General features: G+C 41.6%; 1 protein-coding gene across 2 annotated transcripts in view, besides 1 other annotated feature; it reads right to left on the minus strand.

The window, feature by feature from the left end:
• Window positions 290-1489: an enhancer, noted in NCBI's record as "P300/CBP strongly-dependent group 1 enhancer chr3:8911034-8912233 (GRCh37/hg19 assembly coordinates)". NCBI's record gives its function as "activates an origin of replication core promoter dependent on BRD2, BRD4, P300/CBP, MED14 and CDK7 cofactors, with strong dependence on P300/CBP, by STARR-seq in HCT116 cells {active_cell/tissue: HCT116}" and the evidence as "EXISTENCE:reporter gene assay evidence [ECO:0000049][PMID:35650434]".
• RAD18 (RAD18 E3 ubiquitin protein ligase) overlaps window positions 8015-17843 on the minus strand; it is an 86398-nt gene continuing 76569 nt past the window's right edge. For both annotated transcript variants that reach the window (NM_020165.4, XM_017006873.2), the window contains one exon: window positions 8015-12399. In NM_020165.4, the coding sequence (NP_064550.3) occupies window positions 12297-12399 (103 nt within the window). In that variant the 3' untranslated portion in view covers window positions 8015-12296. The remainder of the gene's footprint in view (window positions 12400-17843) is intronic.

Here is a 17843-nt window from a genome sequence, read left to right on the forward strand (position 1 = left end):
TAAAACAATATTTCAGGCTTCTTTTTTTTTTCGTGATAACAATTTGCCCCAATCCTTCACACAACCCCTCATCTGTTCCCTGATGAGAATGAATCAACATGCTCACAAAAGCAGAGCTTTGTATCCGTAACAAAAACCTCTGCTCTTCTTGTTGTAAAAACTCCCGAGAAAAGGGATGTGAGTGCTGAGCATTTCAATAAGACACAGAGATGCAGGATAATCTGTTCAACAGAAAGGAAAGCTATTAATAAAACCCTTGAAGGTACACAGGAAGATGGAGTGATAGCTTTTAATTACTGAGTCTCTTAGTCATCTTCAAATGAAGATTTAAAGATGTTGTGCATCTGACACAGAGGTTCAAAGCAAAGGTCCAAAGCAAAATTAAGTTTAGGCCCTAAGAAATAAGACAAAAGATAAGTATTAAATGAAAACAGAAAATTATTCCCATAGTTTAGGTCCTTATTGATGGTCCCTGTAACAATTTGTTAGTTGGGAGAGCATGTCCACACTAGAAAAGTAACAAATTTCATCCAGACAAAGCATTTAGTGTTGTGTCCAATAAGCCTAAAATAAAGATTATTGTACACTTCAGTGAAGACACATGCATACATTGAGTCATAGGAATTGGAGAAAAAAGTGAGTAGTTCACATAAATAAAACAGTTGGTGTTAGTTTCATCCGGTTGAGCCAAGCATTTCAGGGACAGCTGAGAAGAGCAGAAACTGAAGAAAGGAAGAGATTGCTTCAATGGGTCCCTGACTCACTTGATCAGATCTCTTTGCTCAGAGATGATTCATTCCACACTGATTTGCTGCTCACCTAATACGCTCAGATGTTGTTCAGAGCACTGGAATGCAGAGGTGAACACCACCCAAGCAAGGTCCCTGATCTCACAGACATCACATTCCAGGGAGAGAAGACATTCAGTCAACCATTAGTCTTTTGGTTTTTTCTTTTCACAAATAGTTTTTGAATGCCTACTGTGTACCAGACACTATTCTAGGCCTGGCAGACAGTAGCAAACATGGCAGAGTCCCTCCTGCCACAGGGCTTACATTCCAGTAGGGAAAGAAAAGCAACAAACAAGCAGGCAAATAAATAACTCTGGACAGTGCATATTATGAAGAAAAGAAAACAGAGTCTGGAACAGATACTGATGTGGAGGAGCGAGGAGGTCTTTTAGAAAGAGAGGTCCAGGAAGGCTTTAATGAGAAGGTGACATTTGTGCAGCTCTCAAATGATGAGAAGCAGCCAGCCGTGGGAGGATCCCAGAGAAGACGATTCCACACCGAGGAAGCATGAGAGTGAAGCCCTGAAACAGGAGCAAGCCTAGCATGTTTAGCAACCGTAAGAAGGGCTGTGTGGCTGTAGCCCAGAAAACAGCAAAAGAGTGGAAGGGCACAGGCCAGCGAGGTGGATGAAGCCCGGGCCATCCAGGACATTTACATCATAGTAAGAAATTTGGTTGAGTTGAAATACATTGGGTGGTCATTGGAGGACTTGAAGGAGGAGAATAATATTTGATCTACATTTCTTTTCTTTTCTTTTCTTTTCTTTTTTGAGACGGAGTCTCGCTCTGTCGCCCAGGCTGGAGTGCAGTGGCGCGATCTTGGCTCACTGCAAGCTCCGCCTCCCGGGTTCACGCCATTCTCCCGCCTCAGCCTCCCGAGTAGCTGGGACTAAGGGGGCCCGCCACCACGCCTGGCTAATTTTTTGTATTTTTTAGTATAGACGGGGTTTCACCGTGTTAGCCAGGATGGTCTCGATCTTCTGACCTTGTGAGCCACCCGCCTCGGCCTCCCAAAGTGCTGGGACTACAGGCGTGAGCCACCGCGCTCGGCCTGATCTACATTTCTAAAAGATGGCTGTTGGGGAAGAATCAGCTATGGCGGGATAAATGTGGATTATGAGAGAAACCAATTAGCAAGCTAGAACAGCAGCATCACTGAAAGATGATGGTGGCTGAAATAAACATGGTAGCGGTGGAGGGCCTAAGGAGTGGAGAGATAGACGATACATTCTGAAGGGTGCACCAAGAAGAATCCTGGTGATGGTAGGATGTATTGGGTAAAGACAAGAGATCAAAGATGAGTTCTAAAACAACATGAAAAGAAAACCCGATTAAAAAATGGGCAAAGGACTTGAGGAGATATTTCTCCAAAGAAGATATACAAATGGCCAACAAGCATATTAAAAGATGCTTAATATTGCTAATCATTAGAGAAATGCAAATCAAAACCACAATGAGGTATCACCTCACACTATTAGAATGGCCACTATTAAATAAATAAATAAATAAATACATAAATAAATAAAACCCAGAAAATAACAAGTGTTGGTGAGGATGTGAAGAAATTGGAACCCTTGTGCACTGTTGATGGGAATGTAAATAGTACAGCTTCTGTGGAAAACAGTAAGGTCATTGTAAATCATCAGGAAGACTGGCCGGAGAAGCAGTGGGATCCTCAGAGTCTGTGTAGAATTGACCAGAGAAAACCACAGATTGAAGAAAAGAGCTGCCACTTGGAGGAAAATTCCCGCGTGAGTTATAAGCTCTGTGGCAGACCTTGCTCAGTGGGGCTGGAACCATGAGAGCCAACTTTAACTACCTGCTGGGCCCAGTGGGTGAGCCATCTTATGATAGTACCTTTCAGAAAAGAGCTTCCCTGCTCCCCTGCTTCTCCTCTCTCTCTCCACTCCCTGAACCAACTGCCAGATGCTGGAGGGTAGGTGAAAGCATGACGTAGGGTAGGGTAGGGAGAGAAGTGCACAAGCCCCTGACCACTGGCCAGCCACATCCACTGCAAGAAGCCAGATTACAGCAAGCTCCGGCTAGGGTAGGGAGAAGACGTAACTATAAATCAAGGTCAGACTTTTATCACTACATGAGACCAGGTATTTTAACTTTGGACTATAGGTTTTTGTTGTTGTTGTTGTTGTTTATTATTACCTAAGAGTGATCACAAAAGTCATGGGACCACAGGAATTTCCATCCTGGGGTAGACAACCCTCTGAATACATTTTGAAGGGCTATGAGGAGATAAAAATAGTTACTTCCTAATTAAACCCCAAATGTTTGTTCAACAACTCATTACTTAGTTTTTGGCCTGAGCAACTATGTGAATGAGGGTGTGATGGACTGAAATAGGAAGATTTGGGAAAAGCAGGCTTGGGGTAGGGAAGGAGCTCAGGAGTTCTCCTTTGGACATGTTAGGTTGGGGTGCCTCTAAGCCAAGTGGACATGTCAGGTAAATCAGTCTGAAACTCAGGGGAGAGGAATACTTTTTTAAAAAAATACTCATTTTCATAGAAGAGTGGAGGGGAAGATGAGGAATGTAGACAATTATTTTGCAGAGCAGTAAAGCATTAGGGAGAATGAATGACTAGGAAGTGGGAAGCAGGCTTTACAGGAAAGTGAGAGGTCAAAGACAGAGAGGAATGCTTTTGAGAATCATTAGCCTAGAGATAGAATTTAAAGCCACGTGACCAGATGATACCAACTAGGGAGAAGACATAGCTAGAGAAGACAGCCAGAGACTAGTCTCTGGGGCACTTCTCATTCATGGCTAGAAGTCAAACAGAGAATGAGGTTTGAGCAGAGGAGACTGAGCAAGGGTAACTAGACAGGTGGCAGGAAAACCAAGAGCACCAGGCAAAAGTGGTGGAGGGGAGAGGCAAGGGAATGGTTGTGAGGGACCATGGAATCTGAACTGGATAATATGGATGTAAGGACATGTATGTGGAGCCCGGGATGATGAACAGTGAAAAGTAGCAAGGTTACAGGAATGAAGGTCACTAGGGGGGTCAAAGAATTGTTGGTGTGGGGACAGCTATGAATAGGAGGTCAGAGCGGGAAACCTGAGGCAGGGATTCAGTGGTGGTACAAGAGGGCAAGAGCATGACTGGGGGCCAGTGCAGAGGTGTGATGGGGAAAGAATCTGTTAGAGGTGATCAAAGAGCTGCACATGGTGGCCCCTGCCTGCAGTCCTAGCTACTTAGGAGGCTGAGGCAGGAGGATCACTAGAGCCCAGGAGTTCGAGACTGCAGTACACTGTGATGGCACCTGTCAATCGCCACTGCTCTGCAGCCTGGGCAACATAGTGAGATACCGCCTCTTAAAAAAAAAGTGATGGACAATCAGGTGGCCTGGGTTTGGAAGGGGTCGGTGGTGAATGGTTAAAGAATCCATTGGATAGAGAGGCCTGGAGATACAAACCCCTCTTTCTCACCCCTTACAAGGATTATCCTTTTTCACCTAAGAGGGCTTGAGGAGTTTGAAGCTGGTCAGTTGCCCTCAACACTTCCTGTCTGAAACCCAAGGCCTGGATGGACTCTCCTTAGAAGCAAGAGAGGGCACAGTCCTGTCTTCCGTGAGGCTGCCGCTAGGTTCCTGGACCCTCAACCCAGGGAGTGAGCAGAGTCACCAGAGCTAGCAGACGGCTGGGCCTTGATTTCCCTGGATCTCTAGTCTCAGGAGTATTCAAAGACACCACATAGAAACATCCAAGTGCTGCTTTCCTGTCCGCTCAGCTGGAGCAGTGGGTTTCCCCTGCTGCCTTCTGTGCCACCCTCTAAGTGCAGGTCTTATTTGTGGGCAGAGCACACGGAGAGGGCCACTACTCCCTCCACCCGACGCAGGAGAGTCTTGGCCAGAACTTCCACCTGAGCCTTAGATTGAAACATTATAGCCAGAAGACACCCTATGTCTTAGGCGCCCACTGAATCTGTTTTCCAACTTGTTAAATGAGGGGATTGAGCTAGATGATAGATGAGGTTCCCTCCAGCTCTTGGTAGTCTAGAGTCTAGTTCAAATGCCCTATTTTATATCAACATGAGGAAGCAAGGGCCAGGGGGAGGGAAAGTGACCCACTCCTAGAACTGGATTAGTCAGAGAGGCAGCTCTCTGGACAGGGAATGCTTCCTTCTTGTAGATTCTTTATTATTACATTCTAACACAGTATTCATTAAATGAATATCCACGTAATTACATTGTTACGGAGTGGAGATTTTGGTGAAAATGGGGCGAGAGAAAGGCATATTAGAGGAGCTTTGGCTCCTTCAGTTGAAGGACGGCATTTGGTGAAAGGAGCACACCAAGAGGAAAATAGGAAAGAGAAGGGGAAGGTGGCAGCACACCACATTCCTATATGGGCAGCCCTTAGTGCCCTCCAGCAATGACTGTTCCTCACCTCACCCTGACCGTCATTTTATATCTCCGGCATTCTCTGTACTCCCTTCTGCTAAAATGCAAACTGCATCTCTTCTTAAAAGCTAATCCAAGTCCCAATTTCTCATAACAAGTTTCCACGAATCCAGAGCAAAATGAAAAAAATATACACATGGTGAATTTCTTACAACCATTGCTACACTTAATTAGCTTTGTCTGGTATCTTTTCCTACCTTTTTGCTTTCTGTATGATTGTTTCTTGTAAACTGCATAAAGCTAGATTGTTTCCTAAAAATCCAACCTAAGAAACTGTCACATATTATTGTGGGAACATGTCTTAACCTTTGTCCTGGTTTCCTTATCTGTAAAACAGGGTTGTTGCAATGACTGAGTTAACACTGGCTAAGCCCTTAGCCCTGGCATGTACTACACACTTAATTAATACTAGCTACTCTTAAGAGTTCAGTGTAATCATTTATAGGGATAGTGATTATTGATATAGTTGGGGTTATTGGACCATCTTATTTCATATTTTCTATTCACTGTGCTTTTCCTTGTTTTTCTAATCTTTTCTGCCTCCGTGGCTTTACCAAGTTTTCCTGAAACCCATTTTCTGGAAACAGGTGTTCACTAAGAGTTGCCTTTAAAACCTTAAAATGGATTCTTAAGAGTTCAAAGTAGGTCGATGCCTCCCAAACAATACTAATACCAAGAGCTTCAGAATGCCTTGATATTCTGATCTCCCATGTCCCACATGATTATCTACTATTTTATTTCCACCTTGTTTTAACCACTCTCCACTCTCCACCCCTAAATCTATATTTACTTAAAACTTGCCAGTGTGTTTACCAACATATTTGCTCACCACTGCTTTTTGTATACCACCCCTTTCTTCTGGGTTCCATTCCATTCTTACTAAAGAGCACCCTTTAGTAAGTACTTTTGCCCATCACAACTTAACAAACAGAAGTCTGGATCTCTGACTATATCTTGCATGAAGGACGAGCTTAGCTGGTTTAAAACAGAACTATCCCACAGTTCATCACTACGATATTCTTTTACTTTGCTAGAAAAAAAACAAAAACCAGCCCCTGACCAGGTTATGACTTTTAGCATTTGTTCAACTATTTTCCCTTTCTGGATAGAAATCAGCAATGGTCCCCAAATACATTTAGACAAATATGCTTCCATGAAGCCTGTATTTCTACAAAACTGTGACAAAGTGGGTAAGGTCAGTCTCTTGACAATCAGATTTGGGCCTTACATTGTGCCACCATAGGTTCTCTTAGCCCCACCCCCTTCTTTAGGTTTTTAACCTAAGTAACACAATACCACGTATTGCAAATAGAAAACAAATGATTCTATGTAGATGTCATGCTTTCAGAAATTCAATATTTATGTTGCCAAAATGTTTTCAGTAGATACTCTTTAAAATTCAAATAGTTATATTAAAATAGCTCATTCAATAATGTTCCCTAGAAAGTGCATTTTGCAGTGAAGACTTATTAGGCATGAGAGTCAGGGCTGCTCAAAATCAGCTATTACATAAAAGATATGATACAATTCTTTTAAGACTGTGATGCAGTTCTTATGTGACCCAAATGGAAATAAACATCATGTGGAATCCTGGGGTTTCAATTGTGTGCTTGTAATTCCAAAGTTATATTATGGGGACCAAAAAAAACTCCCTGCTTGCTGCCTACCTGAACCCCATTCAAGAAAAGACATTTACAATAGCATGTCAGCCTTGCTGTCTATTCATTTGACACCAAGCCAGCTGGCTTCTTTGGAAAGCACTAGAGTAAGAGCAGCTCTAGAATCTTGCCAGAAAATGTATCCAGCTGCTATCCAAAGACTGGGTGTGAAACACTATAAAAGTATTTCTTAGCCATTCTCCTCAGAGATCTTAAATACAAGTTGAGTATCCCTTATCTAAAATGCTTGGGACCAGAAGTGTTTCAGATTTTGCATTTTGGAATATTTGCATCATACTTACCAGTTAAGCATCCCTAATCCAAAAAATCTGAAATCCAAAATGCTCCAGTGAGGGTTTGAGTGTCATATCAGCACTCAAAAAGTTTCCAATTTCAGAGTATTTCCAATTTCAGATTTTCAAATTAAGGATACGCAACCTATTGTATATCTCTAATTTGAAACTAGGGATAATTAGAACCTATCTAACTTTCTATTACATTAGAACATGAAAAGTATTGTTGGTCTTTGTTTGCTTGTAACTCCATAGAATTGTTTTGTTTTAGTCCCTTTCAATTTTGGACTCTCAGCTTTGATAGTTAACAGAAATGAAAGCCTTGCATTTGCTGTGACATTGACACTGATGAACTCCAATGTGATTCTTAAAACCCATTAAGACCCAGAGAAAAAAATTCCTTTAGAATACTTTGGTGTCCCGTTTTGAAAACCTGGCCATATATTTTATTAAAAGCTAAGGTCCCAATAATTCCATTTCCGAGAATGTAATCTAAGGAAGTAATCATATATATGGAAAAAACTATATGCACCATGATGCCTTCTAAATTATTTGTAATTGGAAAAAGCTGGAAGTAACGTAAGTGTCCAAGCGTAGAATGTCTGTGCAAAATGGCACACGATCCAGATGGATTGTTATACAATCATTAAATAGTATTGTTAATGCACTGTGGAATCTTTCTGTGACAAATGAAAGCACTGTGTGTGTGTATGTGTATGTGTGTGTGTGTGAGTGTGTGTGTGTGTGTTTGTGTGTTTATGGAGGTGATCCTGGATAGGTGATATGAAATTCTGACTTGTCCAGCTTCTCTTGATACTATTGGGAAGTTGGCAGACACACAGGCACTTACTAGCATAAGCTGACTTCCATAACTTTATTCTAATATTTTGTATTTTGGAATCAAAGGAGTCAGAAGATGCATGCATCAGTTTCTGGGTGTCCATTTGTGCTGCCAGAAGAAAATACCACAGTCTGGGTAACTTATAGACAATAGAAATTTATTTCTCACAGGTATGGAGGCTGGTAAGTCCAAGATCAAGGCACTGGCAGATTCCGTGTCTGGTGAGGACTGCTCTCTGCTTCCAAGATGGTGTGTTGTTGCTGAGTCCTCCAGAGGGAACGAAGACTGTGTCCTCATGTGGCGGAAGGGATGGAAGGAAACAAAACCACTCCCTCAAGCCCTTTTAGAAGGACCGTGACCCCATCTATAAGAGCTGTGCCCTCACGACTTAATCACATCCTAAAGTTCCCACCTCTTGTTAAGTTTCAACACATGAATTTTGGGGAAGACAGGGATAAGGAAAGAACATGGTGATTAATGCTGTCCCCCTGGACTGATTTTCAAGCTTTCTATGGCAAGAGTTTATAGGCAAAAACAAAATCCGTCCATTGCATGTTTGATAGTGCCATGAACCTCTCTTTTGTTGCACTCATCACAGTTGTACATTAATCTATATAATTACTTAATGCTCATCTTCCCTTCTGATCTACAAGCTCCATCAGGGCAGGAACTGTCTTTGTTTTGCACATTACTTGACATATAGTCCTAATAGTTGAAGGAAGGAAGGACAGGAAGAGTGGAAAGGAAAGAAAGGTAAGGGGAAAGAGAAAAAAAAGGGGGTGGGGAAGAGAAAAGAGAAAGAGTGAAAGGGGAAGAGAGAGGAAGCAAATTTTTGCACAGGACGCTGTGGTCCGGGTGATAGTACACTAGCAAACCAGGAAAGCACACTCCCATTTCCACTTGGAACACAGCAAGGCCAAGAGACTGAAATGGACAGGAAGGCAGGGCTGCCCTAGCACTTGGCAGGTTTGCATCTTGGGGCTATATCGGGGATGGCGTCCTAGGCAAGGTAGGACTTTCCAGCAGGGCCAGCCGCAGTGCACGTGACAGAGCAGCGGTGAGGAGGGCAGATGCTGGTAGAAGTCTGTCGGGGGGAGCAGCAACATATGCAAGCATGGACTTGTATCTGTATTCTGAATATCTGAACCTGGGGATACCCAGAAATACACAGAAGGAATGGAGAAATGCCCCCTTTAAGGTCTCAATGCAGGTAGGGAGTATAAAGTCAGTATCATGGGTGTTAATGTAAATACTTGTTTACAGCCTCAGATAGTTGTTCTTAAGGATGTCTAAAAACAGACTAAAAACCAAAAAAAAATTACTGAAATGGTAAAAAATGTAATGGTTGTGGTTTTCCCTCTTATGTTCATACTTTCATAATATGTACATAACAGACAGAAGTGTTTCTCATTTGAATAATTGCTACTTTCTTTTATCGGATGCTAAGAAGTTTGAAATCCATTGTTTTTGGGTTTTTTTCCAGAAACAGTTCTAGCCTTCTCTATGTTGTCTATCCCTGTTGACACATCAGTCTTTACCATGTAATTTTGTTTTTAAAGGCATACCTCCCTCTATTATATACATGGTCTTATGTGTATGAATTCTTTTTTCAACTAGACCAGTAATCCTCAACATGAGGTCGAAAAAGAAAGACGAGAGTAGAGGATGAAAGGACGGCCTGGCATACTAGGCCATCTAAAGTGCATCCAGCAGCTCACCTGCACCCCCACAAACCATAAGCATCACTGCCATTCTGAGCTGATGTTGATGGGAGATGTTATAACTTTGAGGGGAGTGAGGAGGTAGAAAGAGTTAATAACTCTGAATTACTGTAAGTTTGGTGAGAAACTGTATTTTCACTAAAAGGTGAATTTTAGAACCAGAAGTTTATCAGTTTCAATTTTGGATCTATTACTTACTCTAAGTTCCTTAATCTTTGTCAGATGGATATGAACATACATTTCTTTCAATGTATGAATATTAAACATATGCTAAGTGCTAACAGATAGTGCTCAATAAATGCTCTTTAGACCTTACTTTTCAGGTAGACTTGGGAGTTCCTTTACATTACAGGTTTCTCAGTCTTGGCACAACTGACATGTTAGACTGGATAATTCTTTACTGTGGAGTGTTGTAGTCTAAAGCGTGCCCCTTAACCCCTACCACTAAATATGTTGGAAGTCTTAACTGCCGGTATCTCAGAATGTGACAGTATTTAGAGATAGGGCCCTCTATCTAAAAAAGAGGTAACTGAAGTAAAATGAGGCCATACGCATGGGCCCTGATCCAATGACTGCTGTCCCTACAAGAAATCGGGACACCAGTCCTGCACAGTCATGTGCACACAGAGAAAAGACCATGCAAGGACACCATGAGTGGAAGCCAAGGAGAGAGGCCGAAGAAGAAACCCTACTGATCTTGGACTTCCAGCCTCCAGAATTCTGAGAATACACATTTCTGTTGTGTAAGCTTCCCCGTCTGCAGTATCTTGTGACGGCAGCCCTGGCAAACTAATCCATGAGGGTTGGGTGTTTAGCCTCATCCCTGGCCTCCACCCATTGATACTGGTAGTACCCCTCACCACCCTCCACCTCCAAAAGTGTCTCCACACATTGCCAGCTGTCTCCTGGGGGGCAAAATCTTTCTGCCCACCCCACTGGGAACCATTGTTCTAGATGATCTTTGGCCACCTTTGTATTCCCAGTGTCAGCACAGTGACAGACATAGATAACCAAATATTTGCTGAATGAACTCATGTGCCTACTTTCCCAATCTTGGGTCTCACCGCTCCCTCACAAACTCCTTTTGCTGCAATTAAAGTAATAATTACTTCCAGTTTAATTTATAGACTATATAATTTGTCATGAAACAAACAGTTTTCATTTTGACATAATTTCTGACAACTCAGTGACATAAATATATCCATGTGAGCTCCTATTTTGTTTGACATGCTCACTTACCTCACATCAGTTCTGCCGATAGATTTGGTAAGTGGTGCTTTTAGTTTCCTTAATGCACCCCTCAGGATTTCATGCAAATGAAATTATTATGACAAATTTTTCTATAGCCATTTCTAACACAGGGAACTCATAAAGAAATCAAATGTCTGCACTTCACTGTGAAAACACTAAACTCTCAGCCATAATGAGACTCCACACATTATCAGAAACCCCAAGGCATACCAAAAAGACAAGGTCAACGGAGACAGTCTTTGGAAGGGGAGGTCATAAATGTTGAATCTGGCAAATCATAAATTTCTTGTCTTAACATTGCCGCATTTACTATCATCTCATTTGAAAGCTGATGTGTTTGGGTTGGGTGATGGCAGAGGGGTGGGAGTTGGGGGATGCTGGCTCTGAAATGCCAGAGAGGCATTAAGAACTCTGGAAGCATCTGGCTACTGGTAGACATTTTACACAGATAGCAATTTCTGACCAATCCATTTCAATGATTTCTAACCCATACTCAACTATCCAGAGGATACTGTTTTAAGAACATTATTGTAAACTGATACTCTCTATTCATTTACAAAATTCATTCATTGCATACTTTTTGTTTAATAGCTTGGATTCAGTGTTACAGATTTGATTGACCCAAGTGAAAAAATACTGACACTAATCATTTTTAAGTGCTATTTCAGAAGAATATGCGCAATGTTTCTAAGTTATTGTGACTTTGTGACTGTCGTAGCTTTAAATTATAATACTAATATCCTACTCTGAGAAATGTGTAAGACACAGGTCTAACAAACAACTACATTAACCTCGGGCAACAACCATCATGGAGCTGCTGTAACACAGGCATGGTGGTGGCGTGCATCGGTACTTACACACACCAAGGATGTGAACTGACATCCCGCCTTTCCAAAAACAAACATTTAACTCAACTGTTTCTTGCAATAAAGAAGTTGAAAGAATCCTTTTGTGAGGCTGGATTCTCCATGGAAGAGAAGGAGAATGGCCTAAGGACATTCTGAAATTTAATTATCAAACCAAACCAAACCAAACCAAATCCCTGTGCCAAAGTGCCAAAGAGTCTACCTCCTCTGCAAAGCTGGTACCTGTGTGAAATGTCAGTATTTTTAGAGAGAGATGTTTTAGAGGCAGGAGGCAACTGACCAAGTAAGGATATTTTGTAACATTTTTCCCCTCTGGAAAAGCAGAAAAGAATGAATATCAGCTAACCGTAATATTTAGAATTTAGCATCTTTCCTTGGGCATTTATAAATAGAAAATCTATCTGTGGCAACCAAAAGTACGGTATTCTAATCAATGCATTTGAAAAGTCAGCAAAAGCCCACATTAATTCCTATTACGCTTGTTTCTTGGTTCAATCTCAGCACTTTCAGCGGCTCTTGTGCGGCGATTCTGTCTTGGACTTATTTCTGTGTCTTGAAGATCGTTTCTGAAGACAGAAAAAGGAAATGACATCTTGGAAAGTAATGATTATTGTACAGCAGTTTCTAGTTTACAAGTGTTTTCACACATATTATTTCATTAAAACCTCGAAATAATCCTCTATTCTGTTGATGAATTCATAATTGTTATTATTAGTATTTCCACTTTATGAATTAGTGAGTTAGCAAAGATCACAGATAGTAAATGAGCTCTGAACCCCTTTTTCTGAATTAAAATTTAGGAGTTTTATGCTTCTGTTTAGCATGTAGAGGGCTGGGAAAAAACGGCAAACAAAAAGCTGCTCCCATCCTAACAAGAAAAAGCCAGACAGTCTAACAAAATCTTAACTCTGTTTGATCCTTCAGAGACCTGAGGTTTTAAAGGAACTAAGAAAGTAAAATTCCAAAGAAAAATATGCCCCTCCAAAGATGGGCCACACTTCTCTCACTTTTGGCAGAGTGTTGGAGAACGAGGTGGCTGCCATACAAACAGGTAAGAAGAATCAGCTAAGATTTTCCTAATTTCTTAAATACAGGCTAGTATTGCAGGCCCCTGACACAAGGAGAGTCTGCACACACTTGCCAGCTCTTTTCCACGAGCCTCCGTCAGGTGCTCACAAGAAAGACTGGGAGCAGGACAGGTGAATGGAGAGGGGCCACTTCAGTGGCTACGGGGGACAGGAAGAAGTCAAGTCCTGCCTGCTCTCCTGAATGCTTCTCTCCCATGAAGCATAAGCTTTTCAGTTGCTGAGGGAAACACAGGAAACTCCCCCTGGGGCTCTAGCAAAGACCTATGGCCTCTGGGGAAGGAACAGAGGTGAAATCAGTCTGCCTCAAGGGGAGGCATATGACCTCATTTGCAGGAACGCAGGCAAAGATTCACTGCTGCAGGGGGAATGGTAGAAACTAAAACCTCTACCTTACAGGAGGGGCAGTAAATCATCTCCAGCTGATGACCTTACACTGACACCACGCAGAGGTTTGGTCAAGTAGCCAGATACCATGGGAGGAGGTGGAAGTGCTGAGAAAGGCCCACCCCTGAGACTCAGGCACACAGGGCCTACCTAAGACTCAGGCTAGACTGAGATAACAGTGAACCCCGGCTGTTTCCCACCATCAGCCTAGCAACAAGCAATAAGCAGGAGCAGGAAATGGCTGAGGGAGAGACACAGACATGGTGAAGATATGCCCCTATTTGGTGCAGGAAAGCAAGCATGGCTGAAAGGAAAATGGGAGCAAAATCAATGAGAAAAACCCTCTGGCAATCCAGCCCCAACACTAAGCAGAAGTCAAAGCAGCCACCTGCTAGAGTAACTTGAAGTGGATGCACTGAAGGTCACATTAGTCACTAGGAAACTCCAATCCAGGTCAACTCTGAATTACCCAGCTCAACTCCCCACACTAATGACCCAGTAGAAGGATGTGCATTTCTAGGCACAAACACTATCGACCTCAGTCCCTATGGTCCTTCACTGCATGGCCCGCATTCAAAAAGTATGATACACAATGAAGCAAGGGAAAAACCCATTTCGAGATGGAAATTCCTTCAATAGGCTTTAAGTGCAATACACAAAGTTGATAAAAAGACTTAGTGAACTTGAAGGTATGTCAATAAAAACCAGATTAAGATACAAAGAGAAAAAGGAGTATGTGAGGGGGTGCACATAGAATAGAGCAGCCAAGAGCTGTGGGACAATAAAAATGGCATAACATGTGTATAACTGTAATACCTGGAAGAAAGGAGAGAAAGAACTATGGATAATAAATATGTAAATATATATGGCTGTGGATTTTCTAAAAACGTTGAAACACTTCAAATCAAGATCAAAGTTGGTCAAAGAACCCCAGTCATGAGAAATACCAAAAATAAACAACCAACAAACAAGATCTCTCCAGGATTTGTTGTTGTTGCTGTTTGCTATTATTGTTTAGTGACTTTTCTAAACCAATCCTATAAATATGTATTCTTTGTTGTATATGGCAACTAAAAGTGTCTGCTTGATTAGCTTTGTAGTCCACTAATGATTGAACAGTTCCTTAGACATCTGGAACCAATATCATACAGAAACTCAGCAAAACCAGTCTTTGCTGGTGGGTTCTGTGTCTGTGCTGGGGCATGCAATCAACATTCACTCAACACTCAGTGGACAACTCTGCCTTAGCCTTTACTTCCTGCTTGCACACAGCCTCATGGTTAACCAGAGGTGAAAGTTTAGCGCTTCCTTAGGTCTTTCCTAAGCATGCACGGAAGCTCTATGAATGAGAGTGACCCTCTAGATTCCCAGGAATATTTTATAGCTGTTCAAAACCCCCATGGAAATCTTATTCTTCAGCTTTTACCATTAGGCTTTTTGGTTAGCATATCATTTACCCCAACTGTTATCTACCACCTCAGACAGCTGCAAAGCTAGTCAAATGCCTCTAATTGCTTTCAACAAACACCCTTAGATAAAAGGCTTTTTGAATTCAGCAAGCTCCAAGTCAGGTAAAGTAAAGATAGTCTTGCAAGTAGAGTCTTCCAGGGAACCATTAGACAGGCTAAGTAAAAATAAAGTAAAGATAGTCTTGCAAGTAGAGTCTTCCAGGGAACCATTAGACAGGCTAAGTAAAAATTCTCTGGGAATGTGGCTTTAAAGGGGCTCCAACCCCGCTCTGCCTTCTCTGGGGACTGTCAGCCTGCTGGTCCTCACCATGACTGCAGACTGTTGGCTCCCAAGGCCATAGAGGAACTGGAGAGAGAAGGATGAGAACAAAGCCAGTCGAATCACCACAAAGCTCACTGTTCTCACTGAGATTCAGACATTTTTCTTGAATAAATGACCCCTACCTAAATTGCTGCTGCTTTTGGTTAATTTTCAGAGTTTTCCTAAAAGTTGATTCTGACAATTTTTGCAGTTTTGTTATTGCTTTTATGGAGCAGAGAATTTCCACCATTTTTGCTATCACTCTTATCATTTTTACTTTTTTTTCATGTTTTAGTTTATGTTCTTAAAATCTCTCAACTTTCACCATGTCAAATTTTTTATCTTAATGTTTTATCATCTTTACTTATTTGACTTCTGACTCTTTTTAAGGCTTAAGTTTTAGTGGGATGTTCCTCCTTACTTTTAACTTCTATTTTATCACTCTCTATTCTCATACCTTGTTTTTAATAATCCTTTAACAATTTTCAGTAATTTTTCTTTCCATGTTTCCCCTCTTTGATTTGCCTTTATGATAGCTGGCAACAGACACAGCTATTGAGGTAGTGCAAGAAGTCATCTATACTTCTTCCACTTCCTTAGCAGGGGAGTTCCTGGCAAGGATCTCAGCGGTTCTCCCAGAACAATTCTCTAAAACACCTCATCCCCTAAGATGCAAGAATCCTAATAGAATAACCCAGCCCACATTTTTTTCCATGCATGTAACACATTGACTTACTGGAATAACACTTCATAAGATCTCACAGGTACAGCAGGTTTTTAAATTCTTGGTCTCCAGCAGGTATTACTAATGAATTTCTTTTAGTAAAATTTGACAATAGCATGTTAGCCAGATGGGAGGATATTCCTGGGGAGGGCCACAGTGAGGCATCTATCTACTGTTAAAGTGTTGAATCTACTGAATGCAAAAACATGCCTTAGGAGATCTGGCCATTCATCATCAGCCTGCTTCCAATACACATTATTTCCAGGATGACCTACTTTCCTTCTTGGTAGGCCCATAGAAAGAATCTCTTGGTGTGTGGCTCTCCTTGCCTCATGTTGATTAAAGAGACAGTGGTCAGATCAAGGACCACTGTAAACAGGCCTGAGTTTCCTTTTATTCATTTTTTTAAAGATGGGATTCACTGTTTTCTTGCTGCAAGTACTTTCAATTACAGTAATTGTATCATTTAACAAACATGACAGGCTCATAAGTGCATGCAAACAACTTCTTATGGGTTTAAGATGAAATGTAGACTATTAATAGAGAAAATGATTCTTCCTTTTCCGATTTTATAAGATTAGAGAAAGTTATTTTCTAAAATTTTCTTTTAAAGGCACTATGAGATAGAGACAAAGAGTTAGCAAGATTTTTAAGTGGTGTTAGCTTAAAAATCAAATTTACAACTTTGGAAAGGAGCCTTTATTTCTTATAAATGATTACAGCCAGAAAGGTGACCACTCTGACAAGGCTGAGAAGTGTTAACTCTGGCAGAGCCCAAAAGACAGGCACTGTAAGGGAGGGAAGAGGGAAAAGGGATTTAGGGTGAATGTGTGGACCAAACATACATATTCAACAGGTTACAGGAGGAGCTATGATTATTCATAAAGGGGGATCCTAATGCATGTCCTAATGCATGCATGCATGTTTCACACAACCCATGTTCATTCTGGGGTGGAGACTTAACATTTAAATATATTACAGTTAGGCCTTACATGTCAAAAGGTCTTTCTAGGACATAAAGGCACCCAACTGCTCAGCCACTATAAAACTAGCCAGAACCAGTCCATGGTCAGTGGTCTCTTATCAGGAGAAAGTTATTGAAATCAGTCTCTTGTCAAACCAATGCTGTAGTTATAGCTTGTGGAAAAGGGTGGGTCAGTTAGTCAGCATCTGGCAGTTGTATAGATGTGCTACAATTGTTTTAACATTGTTTATCTCAAGGCCAGTGCTTGTTTAGCTGCTAGAGAAAAAGAAAAACCTTGTGGCAATTAGAACATAATTACTCTTTAAGTGTGGGGTGATTTACTTAACCCTTGCCTGGCAAGGCCTTAGGTCTTGTCTATAATTTGGTATTTTATTGCCACAAAAAAATCTGTTCTGTCAGTCCTATGATCTCTATTCTAACATTAATGTTGGCCAGTTGTTATGTCTACACTGCAAAAGGGAGGAGGTATAATGAGGCATGTCTGACCTCCTGTGCTGTCATGGCCAGGGACTGTTTTTAAGGTTTCTATGGGTCCCCTTGGCCAATAGGGGAGTCTCTTCAGTCAGCTGATGGCTTAAAATTTTGTTTTTAGTTTACAGTGGTGATCCTTATTCATTCACAGGTTCTTGAAGCCAAGTAAGAACATAGAATCTACTAGTGAATACACTCAGATCCCATAAACACTGACTGACTGACTGACAGACAGACACATTCATTCATTCACATATTTATTGAGTGCCTATGCTGGGCTGCCCAGGCACAGTGCTAGGTGCTAGGGATTTAAAATCCAGTGTACTTACTCACTAGAAAGGGTGAGAGTGCTGCTGGAGCAAAATCAGGGGCTTCTGAACAGAGTATGAAGAAAGGAATGTCAACTGCTATCTAGATGAATAAAGGGGAAAGGGCAATTTGGACAGAAGCAGCGGCGTGTGCAAAGGCCAGAGGCAAGGCGGTGTAACTCATGAGGCAACTGTGAGTGGTGCAGCTTGGCAGCTTGGCCAAAGCCACAGTTGTGGGGTAGGGAAGTGAGGGAATAAAATTCCATGAGCCAGCCAGGTA

The sequence above is a fragment of the Homo sapiens genome, chromosome 3 (assembly GCF_000001405.40).
Source record: "Homo sapiens chromosome 3, GRCh38.p14 Primary Assembly".
NCBI classification, from domain to species: Eukaryota; Metazoa; Chordata; class Mammalia; order Primates; family Hominidae; genus Homo; species Homo sapiens.